This window comes from Homo sapiens, chromosome 20 (genome assembly GCF_000001405.40).
Source record: "Homo sapiens chromosome 20, GRCh38.p14 Primary Assembly".
NCBI classification, from domain to species: Eukaryota; Metazoa; Chordata; class Mammalia; order Primates; family Hominidae; genus Homo; species Homo sapiens.
This window is the reverse complement of record NC_000020.11, coordinates 37,381,813-37,399,988: the sequence shown is the minus strand read 5'-3', so window position 1 is coordinate 37,399,988 and position 18,176 is coordinate 37,381,813. Positions and strand designations below refer to the sequence as shown.

The 18,176-nt window shown below is 59.2% G+C and overlaps 1 protein-coding gene across 21 annotated transcripts in view, besides 8 other annotated features; it reads right to left on the bottom strand.

Moving 5' to 3' along the window:
- The window catches only part of SRC (SRC proto-oncogene, non-receptor tyrosine kinase), a 61,352-nt gene that overhangs the window by 6,062 nt on the left and 37,114 nt on the right, over window positions 1–18,176 (bottom strand). For 8 of the 21 annotated variants that reach the window (XM_047440402.1, XM_047440405.1, XM_047440401.1 and 5 more), the window contains 7 exons: window positions 17,203–17,370; window positions 15,586–15,839; window positions 13,815–13,914; window positions 5,996–6,094; window positions 5,712–5,815; window positions 3,678–3,827; window positions 2,135–2,290 (listed from right to left, as the gene is read on the bottom strand). In XM_047440402.1, the coding sequence (XP_047296358.1) occupies window positions 2,135–2,290; window positions 3,678–3,827; window positions 5,712–5,815; window positions 5,996–6,094; window positions 13,815–13,914; window positions 15,586–15,835 (859 nt within the window). In that variant the 5' untranslated portion in view covers window positions 15,836–15,839; window positions 17,203–17,370. Of the gene's footprint in view, window positions 1–2,134; window positions 2,291–3,677; window positions 3,828–5,711; window positions 5,816–5,995; window positions 6,095–13,511; window positions 13,530–13,814; window positions 13,915–15,585; window positions 16,233–17,202; window positions 17,371–18,176 lie in introns of all 21 variants that reach the window. The other 13 variants (XM_047440399.1, XM_047440400.1, XM_047440396.1 and 10 more) reach the window with 3 other exon arrangements.
- Window positions 1,534–2,390: an enhancer, noted in NCBI's record as "H3K27ac-H3K4me1 hESC enhancer chr20:36026002-36026858 (GRCh37/hg19 assembly coordinates)". NCBI's record gives its function as "activates a minimal SCP1, AML or CMV promoter by ChIP-STARR-seq in naive H9 embryonic stem cells {active_cell/tissue: H9 hESC(naive)}" and the evidence as "EXISTENCE:reporter gene assay evidence [ECO:0000049][PMID:30033119]".
- Window positions 2,391–3,247: an enhancer, noted in NCBI's record as "H3K27ac-H3K4me1 hESC enhancer chr20:36025145-36026001 (GRCh37/hg19 assembly coordinates)". NCBI's record gives its function as "activates a minimal SCP1, AML or CMV promoter by ChIP-STARR-seq in naive and primed H9 embryonic stem cells {active_cell/tissue: H9 hESC(naive and primed)}" and the evidence as "EXISTENCE:reporter gene assay evidence [ECO:0000049][PMID:30033119]".
- Window positions 3,248–4,104: an enhancer, noted in NCBI's record as "NANOG-H3K27ac-H3K4me1 hESC enhancer chr20:36024288-36025144 (GRCh37/hg19 assembly coordinates)". NCBI's record gives its function as "activates a minimal SCP1, AML or CMV promoter by ChIP-STARR-seq in primed H9 embryonic stem cells {active_cell/tissue: H9 hESC(primed)}" and the evidence as "EXISTENCE:reporter gene assay evidence [ECO:0000049][PMID:30033119]".
- Window positions 4,105–4,960: an enhancer, noted in NCBI's record as "NANOG-H3K27ac-H3K4me1 hESC enhancer chr20:36023432-36024287 (GRCh37/hg19 assembly coordinates)". NCBI's record gives its function as "activates a minimal SCP1, AML or CMV promoter by ChIP-STARR-seq in primed H9 embryonic stem cells {active_cell/tissue: H9 hESC(primed)}" and the evidence as "EXISTENCE:reporter gene assay evidence [ECO:0000049][PMID:30033119]".
- Window positions 4,961–5,817: an enhancer, noted in NCBI's record as "H3K27ac-H3K4me1 hESC enhancer chr20:36022575-36023431 (GRCh37/hg19 assembly coordinates)". NCBI's record gives its function as "activates a minimal SCP1, AML or CMV promoter by ChIP-STARR-seq in primed H9 embryonic stem cells {active_cell/tissue: H9 hESC(primed)}" and the evidence as "EXISTENCE:reporter gene assay evidence [ECO:0000049][PMID:30033119]".
- Window positions 8,840–9,341: an enhancer, noted in NCBI's record as "H3K4me1 hESC enhancer chr20:36019051-36019552 (GRCh37/hg19 assembly coordinates)". NCBI's record gives its function as "activates a minimal SCP1, AML or CMV promoter by ChIP-STARR-seq in primed H9 embryonic stem cells {active_cell/tissue: H9 hESC(primed)}" and the evidence as "EXISTENCE:reporter gene assay evidence [ECO:0000049][PMID:30033119]".
- Window positions 15,023–15,312: a silencer, noted in NCBI's record as "silent region_12891". NCBI's record gives its function as "represses an Ori minimal core promoter by ATAC-STARR-seq in GM12878 lymphoblastoid cells {active_cell/tissue: GM12878}" and the evidence as "EXISTENCE:reporter gene assay evidence [ECO:0000049][PMID:35858748]".
- Window positions 17,168–17,257: an enhancer, noted in NCBI's record as "active region_17844". NCBI's record gives its function as "activates an Ori minimal core promoter by ATAC-STARR-seq in GM12878 lymphoblastoid cells {active_cell/tissue: GM12878}" and the evidence as "EXISTENCE:reporter gene assay evidence [ECO:0000049][PMID:35858748]".

The following is an 18,176-nucleotide window of genomic DNA, read 5'->3' as shown; positions in this document are numbered from 1 at the left end:
AAAGCCTGGGCCCTTTCTGAGCCTCAGTCTCCCCATCTGTACAATGGGTACAATGACAGGGTGCTCCTCATGGCACTGTTACTAGGATTAAATGCTCAAGAACCAGTAGCTGTTGTCGGGACTGTGATTATTAAGAATGTCCAGGCTGGGCGTGGTGGCTCACGCCTGTAATCCCAGCACTTTAGGGGGCCGAGGCGGGTGGATCATTTGAGGTCAGGAGTTCAAGACCAGCCTGGCCAACATGGTGAAACCCTGTCTCCACTAAAAATACAAAAATTAGCTAGGTGGTAGTGGTGCGTGCCTGTAATACTGGATACTCGGGAGGCTGAGGCAGGAGAATGGTTTGAGCCTGGGAGGCAGAGGTTGCAGTGAGCCGAAACTGTGCCACTGCACTCCAGCCTGGGTGACAGAGTGAGATCCTGTCTAAAAAAAAAAAAAAAGTCCTAAAAAGCAGCTTATTAGCCTAGACAGATAGGGGACCAAGGTTCCAACTCAACCGGTGTCACTTCTGGGTTAGTCATGTTCCCTCTGAGCAGGACTTTGAACGTGCCTCATGTGTTAGCAAATGCAATGTGTACTGGTGGAAGCCAGGGGTGATGTGGAGCTGGCCCAGGGATTTCTAAGGCTGTTGCCAGAACAAGAGGTCACCTCTGGAGCCCACCCGCCCCCCAAAATGAGACACTGTCCTAAGCATGAGGGCTTGGGGGTCAGGCTGGCCAGAGCCTCTCACCTCCGCCTCCTGCCAGCGGAGAGACCATGGGAGAGTCAGTTCCCCTCTCTAAGCCTCAGTTATCTCATCTGGAAAATGGGGATTCCATAGTGCCTACCCGTGGAGCTGTTTGAGGATTGAATGAGATTTTAACCACTGGGCCAGCCCCACCGTGAGGGCTCAGTAAGTAATGTGGTTATCATTTCACTACTATCTGCTTTTCTAACTGTGGGGCTCTGGGGGAAGCTGCATTCTAGACCAGCATGTTTAATCCAGGTTCTTGTCCCAGTGGGCCTCGAGGTTCCTTTGATGTGTGACCTTGGGCCCGTTCCTCCCAGTCGCTGGGCCTCCGTCCGAGGGTTGGGGCTCAGGCCAATCTCTGTGGCCCTGCTGGCTCAGGCCATCTGCATGTGGCACTTCATGAGTCGACCTGGAGCACCCAGGGAGGAAGTGAGGCCCTTCCCAGGGACAGCACCTCTCACCCAAGCCAGAAATGAGTTTTGCAGCCACCATAATGGCTGACGCTGTGCATTCACCCAGGTGTTGCTCAAGTCCTCACTTTGTGGCTGTGCCCACACCCTGGCTTCTCACCCCTCTCCCCTCTCACCAGCTCAAAGCCCACGCCTCCCCTTCCCGGACAGCCTGACCTCCAGCCTCCAGGCCTCTGTCCCTGCAGTGCCTTCCACCCAGGAGGCCGCTCTGCTCTCCTCCATCAGCCCTCTGGAGGGCGGAACGTGGAGGCAGTGGGAGTGAGTGGAGATGCGGCTCAGATGAAACCACCTTGAAAACAGCGCACCGTGATCCCCGCTAGCACCATGGGCTTACGGGGTTACAACCGCCGTCTCTCCTCCACCCTGGCCTCCGGTCCCTCCGTGTGAGCAGAAAGCATCCGGTGGAAGAGGGGCCTGGGTTTTGTCAGGGCTGCACGGTGCTCATGCTTTGCTGTTTCTCCAGGGTCAGACGGGAAATCGCTAACAGGCCCAGACCATGCCAGACCTAAGCTTCCCAGCACTCCCTCCTGCGAGCCGGGCTTCTCTCTCCATGGCGAACAGCTAGTGTGTGGACACGCACTGGGTCAGGGTCTCCACAGTCTCCCATAGGTCCCACTGTCACCAGCCCCATTCACAGTCGGGAAGACTGAGGCTCTGAGTGAGGCCACCGGGCCCAGCCTACACAGCAGGTCTGTGCAATGCCCAGCCCTGTGCGGATCTTGGAATCAGGCACTATGGTTTGCACGGTCCGGGGCACAGTGCTTGGGTGGCCACAACCCAACTCGGTGCCAGCCACCGCTGGGGAGCTCCAGATTTACAACAGGGCCCCGTCATCCAGCAGAGGCAGCTAAAGGCAAAGGGACCAAGGGAGCCCGGAGCTGCCACACGGGGTGGGGGGTGGATGCCTCTCCCGAGGGCAGGGGCCAGGCCTTACCCATCCACACCTCGCCAAAGCAGCCCTGGCCCAGCTTGACCTCCAGCCGCAGCGACTCCCGAGGGATCTCCCAGGCATCCTTGGCCAGGCCCTGAGTCTGCGGCTTGGACGTGGGGCACACGGTGGTGAGGCGGTGGCACAGGCCATCGGCGTGTTCTGAGGAGGAGGCAGGAGGAGCAGTTAGGCGGGTCTTCTGCCCTGGGGCCTCCCTGCCCCTCAGTGTGTGTCGCCCTACATGCCAGATGCACACAGATTTCAGGGGACACGCAGGGTGCCCTCAAAGCCAGGCATCTACATCTGTGTGCACACAGCCCCACCCCCACACAGGCCCACAGTGCTTTATGCATCTGCTGAGTCAGTCATTCAGTCAGTCATTCAGCAGACAGTAGGGGGTGCCAGGAACCCTGCGGGGAGGGAACATGTCCAGGGAACCTGCCCTCAGGAACTCAGAGTCCAGGGAGGAGCCCCACTTCCCTAATCACCTCCCAGGACCACAGATGTGAATGTGACTGGAGAGCTGTTCGCGCAACAGCAGGAGTGGCCTGGAAGGCTTCCTGGAGGAAGCAGCAACTGAGCTTGGATGTGCAGGACGGTGAGGGGTTAAGTAGGGAAGAGCCCTCCAGGCAGGGGCACAGCCAGAGCAAAGGCTCTGAGGAAAGAACAGCTGCAGGGCTGGAGAAGCGGAGGACAAAGGGGCGCAGGGAGCAGGTGGGGAAGGGTGGCACCAGGCGGAGGTGGGGAGGCAGTTAGGATTAGACCACTCAGGGGCCGGTGGGGGTCTTTATCCCAAGATTCCAAGACAGCCCCTGGAGAGTTCTGATCTGAGGGAAAGGGGTTCAGAATGAGCTACACAGCGGTGGCCGAAGAGACAGAGAGTGGCGGGTGATCCCAGAGGAAGTCAGGAGGCCAAGCTGAGAGGAGGAGGAGGCTCGGGGTGGGGAGTGGACCAACACCTGTGCACAGAGGCCATGTGTGCCACAGACACACGGGCACACAGGCACCCACAGGCCCGACACTGCAGTCAGCTTCGGATGCCCAGGTGGGTGGGCTACAGCACTGCGCCCACGCCCGAGCCCTCACCCAGCACGCAAGCCCCGCGAGCTCCCTCTGCCGCTCTCTTCCCTCTTTGCTGCAATCGATCTGGCCGCCCCCTCCTCCTCTCCCAGCAACCGGTTCAGACCGGTCCTAGGGCTACAGAGACAAATGACACCAGCCTCTGTCCCCTCCCTTCCAGCTTACTCTGGGGCTCCTCAGGGCAGCCCCCTCCATACCAGCCAGCTGCAGAGAAAGGCGGGCAGTGGGACACTGCGTGGAGCAGGGAGAGAGGGGGACAGGGAGGAGGGGGGCTGGGGGAAAGAAGAGGAAGAAGAAGGAGACAAGGAAAGGAGGGAAAAGGGAGGAGAGAGGAAGGGAGGGGGGAGGGGGAAGTGGGGAGAGAAGCAGGATAACAGAAGTCCCCACCCTTCTAGGCTCCAAGGCCCCTCCCCAGAGTCTGCAGCTGAGGCTTTGCCCGCCCGCCCTCCGCCCTCCGAGGCTGGCTCACTGGAGTAGTAGGCCACCAGCTGCTGCAGGCTGTTGAACTGGGTGCGGGAGGTGATGTAGAAGCCGCCGCTGTCCAGCTTGCGGATCTTGTAGTGCTTCACGTTGAGGCCCTTGGCGTTGTCGAAGTCAGACACTGAGAGGCAGTAGGCACCTGCGGGGCACCGAGGGGAGCCGTGACCGCCATGCCCTCTCCCCCCGCAGGCCGCTGCTCTGGACACCGTTCTGTGCCTGCCTGACATTGGAGGGAAGGGAGGCCCAGGCGGGGCCCCAGGCCCACCCTGTCTCTCAACAGCCAGCCCCGGGGCAGCCACAGAGGCAGGGCCAAGGGACCCAAGAGACACTTGATTAGTACGTCCTGCCACGCACCCTTGGCCCCAGCAAGACCTCCATATCCCAGGTGCACATCCTAGCTATGAGACTTGGAGGGGTTGCTGGCCCTATCTGGGCCTCAGTTTCCTCCTCTGCACAATGCGGGTGCTCCCAGGGCTGCTGGGGAGATTCCATGCAACCACATATAGAAGGGCCCGGCACACACTGGGCACTCAATAACTGCTGGGAGCCTGTGAGTGGCTCCCTGTGGCTGTGTGGCCCTGGCCTAACTGCTTTCCCTCTCTGGGTCAGCTTGCGGGGGCACTGTCCATGTCCCCCCAACCTCCTTGCTGAAGACAGGCCCAGGCTCAGGCGGGAGGGGGTGGTTGGCAGAGGCTTTGGCCGTCGTGGGCAGGAGACCACGGGCTGGGTGTGGCCTGAAGGCTGCCTGGGTCAAACGGGGCCAGCCCTGGTGCCTCCCCTCTTTCCCTTGAGCATAGAAAAGCTTTTGGCCGGAAAAGTTTCCTCCCATCCAGCAGGCCTGGGTAGGACCAGAGGCCAAGAGACGCCCAAATGGCATCAGGGAACAAGGCTGAGCCCCGGAGGCAGGGGCAGAGGCTCCAGCAGCCAGGGACAGGCCTTCTCAGGAGCCTGGCCAGGCAGTGCATGGGCATGGGGGAAGCCCAGCCATCCTAGCCCACAGACCTCCCCCTCTGCGATCTTCAGGAGATTACAATCCCAGCGTACAGAAGAAATGAGGTCCAGAGAGGGAAGTGGCCAGCCTGGGGTCACCCAGCAAACCAGAGACAGGGCTGGGGCTCAAACCCACATCCGGGGACTCAAAGCCTGCCTTAGGCAACCATGATTTTCTACTGATGGCCCGGGAGGGTGCATGTGGAAGCCACAGGCCTGAGGCTGAAGCCAACCCCAGCCACATGTCCATACACGCACAGGCATGCCCATGCCCAGTAGCCACACGCTCACACAAGTACACGCTCCCTAGGCCCTCAGGCACCAGACAAACCACAGCAGTCCATTCCCACACAGCAACACACAGACAATTCCACCCCACATGCACACACACACACGCCCAGATGTACACACAGCATGCACACCCGCACATGGCTGCACGACTGCTCGTAAATGCACGGCTCGACATGGATGCTCTGCTTCCCATCTCCCGCTGAGCCCCAGGCCCACAGGAAGCAGCTCAGCTTGGCTGCCATGGTGACGGGCGCCTGCAACCCACTTTCAGAGGGGCTGGAGAGAAAGGGGATGGTCTTCATTCTCTGGCTCAGGGGAGGGACAGGAGAGGGGCAGGGACCAGGACTGCAGTTGGGGGAGGGCAAAACCAGCCTCCAGCATCCAGTGCAGCCCAGGGACCCCTGGGGAAGAGGAAGAAGCGGGGCTCATTGTAGCAGCACCTACCCTGGGAACGAGCCTGTTACTGTGTGACACTCAGACCTCCAGACAACCTATGTTCATCTTTTATCTGAGAAAACTGAGGCCAGAGAGACTAAGCCTCATCTTTCTCTGGACATCTGGCCACCGCGGATTACTCAGTGTTCCTCAAATGCACCTCCCTGACTTTGATCCTGCCATTACCTCCACCCGGAAGGTTCTTCCCTCCCTACTCCACAAACCAAACTCCTGCTCATTCCACAACACCCAGCTCAAACCACTCACAGAAGACTCAGTATCCGTTGGCCAGCAAGAGCGCTCGTACCTTTCGTGGTCTCACTTTCTCGCACGAGGAAGGTCCCTCTCGGGTTCTCTGCATTGAGCAGTAACCGCTCTGACTCCCGTCTGGTGATCTTGCCAAAATACCACCTGGGGGTGGGAGGACGGAGGATGGTGCTGACTGTCCAGGCTTCTGCCCACTCACAGTGCTTCTCCCTGGATATGGCTGGGGCGCTGGACAGCCAGACCTCCCACCCCAGCCCAGGAGAGGCACTCTGCACCGGCAGTGTCCAGGGACGACGGGTAGAGGCAGCCAGAGACGGTACTCACTCCTCAGCCTGGATGGAGTCGGAGGGCGCCACGTAGTTGCTGGGGATGTAGCCTGTCTGTCCTGTGCTGAGCGAGTGGGCCAGCCACCAGTCTCCCTCTCTGAGCAGGGACAGAAGGAGGGAGGAAAGGAGAAGGGAGCCGTCAGCCACAAGCCCGGTGCCCACCATCCTCCTAGGTGCTGTGCTCAGGGCTCTAGTGGCTGAGGGAGGCCCAGGGAGGTGGTGGGGCCAGCGTGAGTCCCCACAGCATGCCAGGTCCAGCTGGCCTGGAACTCCTCCCCTCCCTGGCGCAGACGCCTTTTTGCCAAAGCTGGATCAGATGGACTTTGTCTTGGACCAGGGCAGGACTGGCCTTGGTCATCTGAGGCTCAAATCCATAGGGGAGGAGTCCCGGGACAGGAAGAAATTCACTTCCTTTCAGATGTACCAAGACATCTCAAGATGCCGAGAGCTGCCTTGGGAGGGAGGGAGGGAACCCCCTGTCTCTGCGGGCAAGTAAGGTTGTAATAGAAGAGATTCCTGGCTGAGAGAAAGTCAAGTGAGACCTACAAAGTGTCCCCATGCTCTGAGATTTGGAAGCCCGCTCCTGGGAGCTGGTGAGACCTGGGTGGAGGCAAGCAGGGGCCCTGCTGGGACCCAGTGACCATCCAGGCCCCAACCCTGCAAACTAGAGCAAGGCTTGCCTCTGTCCCAAATCACGGGTCACACCTAAAGGGCTCCTCGGCTGAAAACTACAGGCCTCCTCCTCCAGCCTACCCATCTGCAGGGGGAAACTGAGGCCAGAGGGGGCTGGGACTTGCCCAAAGTCACACAGTGAGCCCTGTCAGAGGGGGTGAGGTGGCAGAGCCCCAATGCCCAGGGCACTTCTATGCGAAAGTGAGGAGAAGGAGTGGGGGGTGTGATGGGGATGGGGCAGGAAGAGCTCCCGGCGTGGTCGGGTCCCCTGGGCCTGGGCGGGAGCGGGGAGGGGCGGAAGTACCTTTGCAGCCATCTGAATGTGAACCAGGTCTGGCTGGAGCGGGGGTCCAGAGACACAGAGGAGGGAGGAGAGAGCGAGAGCCCAACAGGAGAGAAGAGGCAGAGATGGGGGTGGTGAGAGGCGGAGAGTGGCAGAAAGAGCAGGGGAGAGAGCGGGAGAGCCAGGCGGTGCTGGGGACAGGGGACGAGGGGGCAGCCACAGAGGCCTCACATCCAAAGCAACCAAGGGGACAGGGACGGGGTCCACAGGGAGTGAGGAGAGGTCAATGGGCAGGGAGACCTGGGAACTAGGGTCCAGCCCCTCTCATTCCCACTGTACAGCTGGGAAGACTGAGGCCAGAGAAGCAAAGGCCTCTTTGCTCAAGGTCACACAGCCAGGCCCAGGCTCCTGACTCCCAGATAGGAGCACCCCCTGCAGGTTGCAGCAGGGCTTGACAGCTTGCTGGGCTCTTCTCAATCCAAGGCCACTTTTGTACTTCACCAGGACCCTGAGAAGACACACGGCAGGCAGGGTGGCCCCCACCCACCGCCAGGGCCCAGAGAGAGAAAGGCCCTTGCCTACAGTCACACAATCTGAACATGAACCTGGATCCCTGGCTCCCACTTCTTCTGAGCTGCCCCTGGCCATATTCTTCAGCCCATATAGAAGATGGAGAAGTTGAGGCCAGGAGGGAGCAGGGCTTGGGGAGCTCTCCAGGGACCTGTCGGAGGACAGGTGAGCACCTGAGACACTGGGGTTCAGCCGGATGGCTCGAAGTGAGCCAGAGGGTGTTGTGTCCCCTCCTGATGGAGTGAGGCAAGGGGGTGTGACTGGGGCTGTGTGGCCTGTCTTGGCTCTGTGATGGCTACACACACACTCGGGCAGGGGGGCAAGCCATATGGGGTCACTGGAGGGAGGGCCCGGGAGTAAGGAGGCAAGACCCACCTCAAGAAAAGAAGCCTTTGGATGCCCCAAATCCCCACCCACCTCCTTGTTGTACACCCACCCGGGGTGTCCACACTTGTCTCTCCCACTGACCCCCAAGGCCACCCTGCAAGGGAGGAAGGCAGGGCTCCAGGCCCCAGATGAAGAAACTGGCTCAGAAATGTCAAGCGATCAGCGCAGGGACACACAGCACCCAGGTCAGAGTAGCCCAGCACTTTATTTATTTATTTATTTTTTTGAGATGGAGTCTTGCTCTATCACCCAGGCTGGAGTGCAACAGCGCGATCTCGGCTCACTGCAAACTTCACCTCCCAGGTTCAAGCGATTCTCCTGCCTCAGCCTCCTGAGTAGTTGGGATTACAGGCAAGCCCCACCATGCCCAGCTAATTTTTGTATTTTTAGTAGAGACGGGGTTTCACCATGTTGGCCAGGGTGGTCTCGAACTCCTGACCTCAAGTGATCTGCCCACCTCGGCCTCCCAAAGTGCTGGGATTACAGGAGTGAGCCACCGCGCCTGGCCAGCACTTTCTTTAGAGAGTTGGGGAAACTGAGGGACAGAGAGGTGCAGCGACTTGCCCAAAGCTACAAAGCAAGGACTCAAATCACAGAAAACAGCTCTCTGAGATCTTTCAGTTCAAAGCCTCCATTTACCAGTGGGGGAAAATGAGACACAGACAGGCCAGTGATTTGCCCAAAGCCACATGGTCAACCAATGGCAGAGCAAGAGTGAGAAGCAGGGCCCCTGACTGTCCACAGCCAGGCACAGTAGGGCCTCCCCAGGCCCCAGAGAGGCTGAGACCTTTGGGAAAGCCTGTGGCAGATGAAAGAGGAGGCTGCAGGGCGGGGTCAGAGGACAGGCCACAGCGGGAAGGGGCCAAGGTCTAAGACCAGACGCTAAAAATTGAGGCCGTTTGACAAAGCTGCAGTCCGCAGGCTGGCCGGCCTCTGGGGAGTCTCCAGCCACCCAGAGTGGAAGGCTGGCAGGAGGCCTGTGCTCGGAGGCCAGCCAAGCAGGGCCCAAGAGCGAGAGGAGTGCAGCCGATGCTACCCGACTTCAGCGAGCAGGGCTCCCAGCTCCCCAGAGTCAGCCCACCTGTGAGCCTGGGGTTTCATGGTCTAGTCTGGAGGTTTCATTTCACAAGGGGCAGGGAGAGAGATGAGATGCACTCCAATTTTACTGAAGGACCCAAGATCCAGTCTCAGCCTGGCCCCTGATTTAGAGGGGTCTGAGGGAATGGGCTCCAGTGCTGCACTGCCCTAGACACCATCCCAGCTCACCACTTGCTGGCTGTCTGACCTTGGCCCCTCCATACCACACTCGCCAGTCTCAGTTTCCTCATCTGCAGGGTCAGCATGTCTCCCTCCCAGGATATCAAATGCCAGAACAGACAGCGCACGGTGGCTCACGCCTGTGATCCCAACACTTCGGGAGGCCAAGGTGGATGGATCTCTTGAGGTCAGGAGTTCGAGACCAGCCCAGCAACATGGCGAAACCCCGTCTCTAATAAAAATATAAAAATTAGCTGGGCATGGTGGTGCGTGCCTGTAATCTCAGCTACTTGGGAAGCTGGGAAGCTGAGGCAGGAGAATCACTTGAACCCAGAAGGTAGAGATTGCAGTAAGCCAAGATCGCACCACTGCACTCCAGCCTGGGCCACAGAGCAAGATCCGGTCTCAAAAAAAAAAAAAAAAAAAAAAAAAAAGCCAGATCAGAGCCCAGCACAACATGCATCAGCTGTTAGATCTGGATTTAGCTAAAAAATAAAAATAAAAACAACTAAATTGGTATTTCCACAGTGACCCTTTTTAAAAACCAAAGCAGCACAGTCCCAGTCTCCAACAAGGATTTGCTGTGTGATCTTGGGCAAGTACCCTGCCCTCTCTGAGTCTTAGTTTCCTCATATGTAAAAAGCAGACAACATTCACAGAATCTCCCTTGCAGGCAAAGTGTGTAAACAGTGAGCGTCATGCTGGGCTCAGAGTAAACTGAGATGACGACTGTGATGATCATCTGAGCCTCAGTTTGCCCACCTGTGAAATGGAGATATCAATCCCCATCTTCCCATGTCAAGGGCTTGGGAGGCTCAAAGCTGCCTCCGGTGGCTGCGGTCACCAGTCACAGCAGCATCAAGCCATCAGGGAGAGGAATTCTACGGCATCCAGCACCTTCCCCCGGGCCTGGTCCTCATCAGGTGGGCAGCAAGCAGGGAAGGAAGGGAAGCCTTCCCACCCATGGCTAGAAGAAGGGCCAAGAGTCCCAGAGCCATGATTTTTCACAACTGCTGGTCACCAGCTGTGTGACCTCAAGCAACTGAGTTCACCTCTCTGAGCCTCAGGATCCTCTTTTGGGGCCCTAATCCTTGGGGCCAGCCAGGGTGGCGTGTGGCTCAGGGGCACGGCAGCTTTGGAACCTGGGACATGTGCCAGCGTGGGCACTGACATTCGCTCCCTTGGGCTGCTGGGACTGGTTGGGAGGGCACTCTGGGGATGGCCGCTGAGCTGGTGCACCACAGCTGAGGCTGGCCAGGTGGGCAGTGGCCAGGAGGTCAATTGCCAAGCCCCAAGACCTGGAGCACATGGTCTGTGGGGTGAGGGAGGAGCGAGGCAGGGGTGAAGCCAGCACAGGTCTCTGGAGGAGAGCATGAAGGCAGGACCCCGAGGCTCTAGACTCCCGAGGTGCCCCCTGCCGCCATGCCGGGGGCAAGGAGGCAGAGGCCAGCTGAGGCGCTGTTGCCCAGAAGCGCCTGCCAGAAAACTCCCAAAAGAAGCTCCTGGAATTTGGGTGGGAGGAAGGGGCAGTTCAGGGAGCAACCCAGAGTCAGACCCAGGAGGGGCCCTGACTCCTGAGACTAGGATGTCAGATGAGGGAGCTTGAGGCAGTCAGACCTCAGCCCCAGAGGGCTTCCTCACACCCAGGGCCACACAATACCCAGAATACCAGGACCCAGGGCCATGTGGCAGCAAGATCCATGGCGCGGGATCTCTGGGTCTGCTACTGCGAGGACCCCCACTTGGCCAGACCCCATCCACAGACGGGTTCCTCCTCTAGCTCTCTACTGCCCTGACAGCCAGCCCAGCCTCCACACGTGCCTGGGCCCCATGCTAGATTCAGAAAGCCCCCCACTCTTACAGGGTGGGGGAGGCACTGCACAGTAATAGGCCCTGAGCACTGATGGAGGAAGGACGTGCATGCAGGCGGGTCCCCGGGATGAGGTGTGAGACTCAAACACCTTAAATTCCGGTGGCCCATCTCCTACCAAGCCCCGCCCCCCAAATCCCTTTCCCTCTCCTCTTCTACTAATACCAGCCCCCCACCTACACCTCCCTCCTTCACTTCTTTTTTTTGAGACAGAGTCTTGCTCTGTCACCCAGGCTGGAGTGCAGTAGCACGATCATGGCTCACTGCAGCCTTCAACTCCTGGTTCCAGCGATCCTCCTGCCTCAGCCTCCTGAGTAGCTGGGACCACTGGCATGCGCCACCACACCTAGCTAATTTATTTTTATATTTTGTAGAGGCCAGGTCTCCCTATGTTTCCCAGGCTGGTCTCAAACTTCTGGGTTCAAGCGATCCTCCTGCCTCAGCCTCCCAAAGTGCTGGGATTACAGGCGTGAGCCACCGCGCTCAGCCACCATCTCTGACGTCTAAGCGAAGGAGCATTGGAGCATTGTGACATGAGGAGGGGCTCCCAATCCACCCACCCCCATCTCCCAATCAGCTACCCCAGGGTCTTCCCTGAATGAGATTCCATCACTTCCAGGCCTCCTGGCAGCCCCAGCCTCCTGGCCAAACCTCCCCCAGCCCACCCTCCCTGGAAGACAAGAAGAGTGGAGGGAAAGGGCTGGAAAAAGGCAAGCATGGGGCTACTCTCTGAATCCAGGTGAAAAAGGCAGAACCAAAGTTCTCCCAGCCCTTCCTGCCTCCACAGCTCTGCCCCAGCTGTCACCCCAGTCTGAGACGCTTGGTAGAGACTCCACCAGGACTTCAGAGCCATCCTGCTGACGCCCCTCCCCTGCACGGGCCTCTCCCTCCTGTGGCCTCTGCTGCACCTCCACTGAGCCTTCCTGAAAGGATCATGGGTCGGAGGGCCAGCCTAGTCTTCCAGCTCTGCCACTACTAGCCATGTGACCTTGGGTAAGTTATTTCACCTCTTTGGGCCTCAGTTTCCTCATCTGTAAAATGGTGCAAGTAAGACTTCCCATTTCTCGAGGCTATGGTGATGCGTAAATAAAATAACGCAACTTCAAGCACTCAGCACAGGGCCCAGCTCACACAGAGAGCACAAGAAATGGTGACATTGTCACTGCTGTTCATTCATCCTGTTCACCATCACCTGCTGGGCACCCGCCACTGTGCTGAGTTACAGGTGCTATGGGGACCCAGAAGTGAGGTGCACCAGAGAGCCACCCTCCAGCAGCTCCCAGTTTAGGGGGGAAGCAGACACAAACAGCTGGTGACAATAAGGAAACTGTAGCTTCGCACCAGGACTCGGCCATGCAAGGGGGGAGGCGGAGCCGGGAGAGCCCCCCCTCCCACCCCCCCGCCAAGAGCAGGTTGAGGAGGGCAGAAAGTTGCTGCTTCGGTTCCAATCCTGGCTTTGCTACTTGGCAGCTGTGTGACCTTGGACAAGGGCCTTCACATCGCTGAGCCTCAGTTTCCTCATCTGCAAAATGGAGACAGCCCCCTCCCCGATCACTTCAGCCCTGGCTAGACTGCAGAGAGGAGTCAATACAAGGACACAGGTGGAGACGACTGGCATGGCAACTGGCACCTCTGTTCCCCTTTGCCCCTCTGAGAAGGCAGTCCTGCACTGATCTTGAGCGATGAACAGGAGTTCCCCAGGCAGACACTGGAGAAAGGGCATTTCAGGCAAAGGGAAGAGCATGCGCAAGGCAAGTGGGGCATGAGCAAGCCAGACACGCTCGGGGCAGTGGAAACCCCCAACTTCCTTAGCCAGGCCTTCGAGGACACCCAGGGATCGATTCTCCTCTGCCTTCTAGAACCTTCCTGCCTTCCACACCCGTGAAGGCGTCAGCCCCCTCCAGTCCGGCACCCTCCCGCAAGCTGCCCTTCCACCACCTCCACCTGCCAGATAACTTCACTGGCTTTCCTTCGAGGCCCTTGACCCTCTCAGTCCCTGTGGTCATCACCGGAGGCAGGTCCACAGCAGGGGCTCCAGGAGCCGACTCTGGGCTCGCCCACTGCCTGACTCTTGGCCTGGGCTGGGGCCATGTGCTGTCTCCCTGGCCACATGCTGGCTCCAGGGGGACGTGGCCAAGGCCTTCTCCACCCAGGCTATCCCCATCACAGCACTGGGTCCTGCATGCAGCAGATACTTGGGTGGGCTGACGGGGCAGAATGGGAGGGTGAGTGAGTAGGAAGGTGGATGGGGAGGAGATGTGCAGGAGAGTGCAATGGAAGGGCCCCTGATCGCAGCCTGCGTTAAGGTCCAGGACCTAATCAAATTGGTGGAGGGGGGAGGGGAGAAGCTGGGAGGTGAGGAGCAGCCAAGAGAGCCAGAGATCACAGGCAGGGAGTGGAAGCACATGCAGACAGCAGCCCCCACCCCCCGCGAAGCACCCCGCCCAGCCCGCCGCCCACGGAGCATGTACACACCTGACATCCACCTTCCTCCTAAGGGCCAGCGAGAGAGAAGCAGAGAGAGGGAGAAGCTGAGAGAGGGCTGGAGGGAGCAAGCGAGAGCCAGGGATTGGGAGGAGTTCCCCATGGCTGGGGGAGCAACAGCAGGTGCTGCCCAGGGCGAGAGTGCAGCAGGCGCCTGCCTCCACACTGCCCTGGGCTTCGCACTGCCCTGGGCTCTGCACTGTGCTGCCCTGATGCCAGATCCTGCATGAGCCCCTGCCCGCTTTGAAGTCCCACCACCCAGCCCTGAGGGGCAATAGGGAAGGGGGCACTCACGTGTTGTTGACAATCTGGAGCCGCTCGCCTTTCTTGAAGGACAGGTCTGTCTCCGTCCTAGACTCATAGTCATAGAGGGCCACAAAGGTGGTCACTCCACCTGCAGAGAGGGGTGGGGTGTGTCAGAACAGTGGGGCCACAGCCAGGGAAGGCATGGGCAGGATGGCCCTGTACCCAGGAGGAGTGGATTTGTCTCCCACACGCAAGTGCTCAGCCCAAAGACACAGTCAGGTTCAGTGAAGATGGGCCTGTGCACGTGTCCACTGCATCCGTGTATCTGCGCATCCCTGCAAGGGCGTGTGGGAGCGGGAGCATCCCTTCCTGTCCGCGTCCGTCCCCGGGGCTTTGGGCAGTGCTGGGTGCTGGCTTATCTGTTTGGTGCCTGTCTTGCTCTAGGAGCAGAAGTCGCCAATAACCAGCATCTTTGTTTTGTTTCCAGAGCCAGGCACATAGTAGGTGCTCAAGAAAGAGCTATAGGCTGAAGGAAGCGGTGAATGAAGAACACTCCCCCAGGAGGCTCGCTCTCTCTCTATAAAGTGTGTCACTCTGGGCGCTCCTGGTGTCCAGGAAGATTTGGCTCCAAGTAACTGCCCCCTCAGAAAGGCCCCCGTACCCCCTTCCACCATTTTAAGCTACAGCCTCCACCTCCTCACATCCCCCAGCCCTCCCTCCCTGCCTGTTTTGCGCCTTCGCAGCAGCGCCCCTTCTAACACCCTCCACGAGCTGCCCTTTGCTTCCTTCCCCCAGGTGGGTTCTGTCTGCACCGCTGGGGCCCGGGCAGCAGAGGAGCCCTGGCCTGTAGTAGGAGCTCCACATATACTTATTGAACAAATGAATGGTGTGTCTGTGGGTCTGTTTCTCTCGCTTGGGCGTGCGTCTGCGTCTGAAGGGTCCACGCCTGTCCGTGTGTCTCTGAGTGTTCTCATGTTCTCGATGCACCTGTGTGTATCTGTCTCCTGGGCGGCCACGATGGTGAGATTGTGATTTCCAGCTGAGCGTGTGTCTCTGAATGCGCTTCTGACGGCATGTGCGTGTGTCTTCAGCTACAAGTGTGAGGTCACCTGTGCATGTGAGTTTGTATCTGGGTACATCTGCGTTGGGGATGTGTCTGCGGGTGTCTGTGACCCTGCCTCCACCCCGCATGTGTGCGTGTCCCTGGCGGGGGTGTAGCCGTGTGTGTGGCCCAGCGTGTGCCTGTGGGGAGAGTGAACGGGTCTGAGTGAAGGAGTGAAGTCTGCGTGGAGTGTCTGGGGCACCGCCGCGGCTCTCCAAAACGGCCCTCTCCGGGGCTGCGGTGACCGCAGAGCGCCAGCAGAGGGCGCAGGGGCGCATCCTGGCGCGGGCCCAACCGGGGCCATCCGGTGCCCCGTTCCCCGAGCGACCCAGCTGCCCCTCCGCCGCACGTGGGCCGCGCGTCCCGACTCATCTCTGGGCGGACCCAGGCAACGAAAAAGGACTGGGCGCCAAGGCAGCAACAGGCCCGGTCCCGCGCCGCCCTTCTTCTTCTTGGGCTTAAGCGTCCAATTAGAACCCATTAACCACACCCCGTGTCTTTTGCGCTTGCTCCACCCCAAAGCCAGCGGCGGCGGCGCGGACGCTTCACAGTGTGTACGGCCGCCCCCCCACCCCCCGGACACCCAAGTCACCCAGGGGCGCTACCCCTGGCGAGAGGAAGGGCCTGCGCAGAGGGGGCGACCCCGGGCACACAGCCCCGCCGCCTCCCCGCCGTGGCCCCAGGTGGGCGAGGACCCCGCGCCGCCCGCGCACTGACCGGCCAGCGGGCCCGCCCTCTGCGGGGAGGTGACGGTGTCCGAGGAGTTGAAGCCTCCGAACAGCTTGGGCTCGGCGGCCGCGGGGGCGAAGGCCGCGCTGGGGCCGCGGTGGCCGTCGGCCGAGGCTGGCTTGCTGGGGGTCTGCGAGGCGGGGAAAGCGCCCCCGCCAGCGCCGTGCACGTTCTCGGCGGGCTCCAGGCTGCGGCGCCGCTGGCTGGCATCCTTGGGCTTGCTCTTGTTGCTACCCATGGTCCTGGCAGGAGAGAGAGAAGACACTGGAACAGGCAGGGCTGCCGGGGCCCCTTGGCCGGCCTCCCTCCCACCCATTCCACAGATAGGGAAAACGAGGCCCAAGGAGAGGCAGCAGGGCCGGGCGCGGTGGCTCACGCCTGTAATCCCAGCACTTTGGGAGGCCGAAGCGGGCGGATCACTTGAGATCAGGAGTTTGAGACCTGCCGGGCCAACACGCGGAAACCCGGGCTCTACTTGAAAAAAAAAAAAAAATTAGCCGGGCATGGTGGCACGCGCCTGTAGTCCCAGCTACTCCGGAGGGTGAGGCAGGAGAATCGCTTGAACAGGGGAGGCAGAGGCTGCAGTGAGCTCAGATCCTGCCACTGCACTCCAGCCTGGGCGTCAGAGGAATACTCTGTCTCAAAAAAAAAAGAAAGAAAAGAAAAAAATGGGGGACAGGGGCACCAGCCTTTTTGGGAGAGTTAGCCTCTCAAAACCTCGATGTCTTCATCTGTAAAATGAGCGTAAGGATGGCATCCATCCGTAAAGGGCTTCCTCGGTCCAGCGCCAGGAACGGAAGAAATGCCTCATAATCAGAAGCCCTGACCTTACCCACCCACCTCCCCCTGAGTCACTGTTTCCCTCCCTCCTGGCAGGGACAGTATCTGAGCCACGCCTATGTCCCGGGCACCTAGCACATGGAGGGGGCTCATTGAGGGTTTGTTGAATGAATACGTGGCTGACGGGAATTGCCTAACGCTGGGGAAAGGTGCTAAAAGTGGCAGCCAAGGCCATACAGCAGGAGGTTTGAAGCAGAGATGGCTGGGAGCTCACTCCAGCCACAGGGCCTTCACACATACCATTCCCACTGCCCAAATGCTGTTCCCTGGCCACTTCACCAGGGTGACTGGTGCCTCCTTCCGTTCTCAACTCAAAAGTCCCCTCCTTGGGAAGTGTTCCCCAAATCCTTTCACTGGGTCCCCCTGACTTGTGTCTGTCTTTGATAACATGTGGTCCTGTTTTGTTTTTGTTGTTTGAATTCATGTGGTTATGTGACTACTGTCGTGGGCTTTTGTTCATCTTGTTCACTGCTGTGCTCCCAGTGCCTAGCATGGGGTGTGGCACACAGTAGGTGCTCAGTAAACAGCTGAACGAATGAGTGACTATTTAAGAGCTAAGGGACTTCAGAGCCAGAAACCTGGGAGGTCCAGAGAGACGGAAACACAGAGTAAACCAAGTTGAAAACTCCCCCTGACGCCCACAGTCCTGCCACCACCCTCTGCCTCCCATTTCCCCATCCGCAGGCCCTGGCTGGTCCCAGCTCCCACCCAGATTCGCTGGGATCTCCCCACCCATCTTGAGCCCTGATAGGGCCATCATCTCACCTGGTAGAAGGCAGGGGCTGTCCCAGAGGACCTGGGAGGCAGCCTGGGGTCTTGGCACAAACACCAGGTGTGGAGTCAGGGGTCTCGAAATAGAGGCCCTGCTCCACCTCTCCCCGCTGTGTGTCCCTAGGCAAGTGGCTTTCCCTCTCTGGGCCTCAGCGTCCTCATCTGCAAAGCAGGGATAAAGCAGACATCTCAGCACTGTTTTGAGGATGTCATTAGAAAGAGAAATCATAATGGCGCCCACTCTCTGATCACTGTTCATCAGGCTATGGCTCTAGCAGGCCCGTGCTAAGAGCCTCCTAGACCTGAAATATCCTTCAACCCTCCCAAAGTCTTTTCAACCCTCTCAAAGCAAGAGCGAGACAGGGTATGGCATGGTGGTGAGAGTGGGCTCTGGAGCTGGGCTCTCCACATCCAGATCCTGGCTCTACCCCTAAATAGCTGTGTAACCTTAGGCATGTGACTTAACTTCTCTCTGTGCCGTTTCCTCATCTGTAACGATGGGGTCATTGTGATAAATGCACAAGACACTGTAGGGTGCTAGGGGCATCACAGGTCACCTCAGCCGTTATTGATATTGTGTAATTCTGGACACACCAGGGAGGCAGGTTCCGATTATTCTTTGGGGAGGCAGAAGGCCTGGGAATCGGTCCAGAATTTCCTCTGAGAACCCATGAGTGGGGAAAAGGCCCCCTGACTGGCTGGGTCCTCGGGCAAGGCTGTTTGCCCTGAGCGCCCAGCCCAGCTATGAGACGCCCCCTGCCTGTGTGAATTTCAGCCTGTCCCCTGTGCCCCTGGGGCCTCAGGCTACCCAGCTGCACAATGGGGGTATGGTTTGCATGCTCCCTGGGGACCACCCAGCTCAGAGAATGTGGGGTTGGGGAGGCCCTGGGGAGACCTGCTGAAGAGCTCAAGGGATTACCATGGTCTCCTGAGGGACAAGTCAATGGACCTGGGGACAGGTCCAAAGT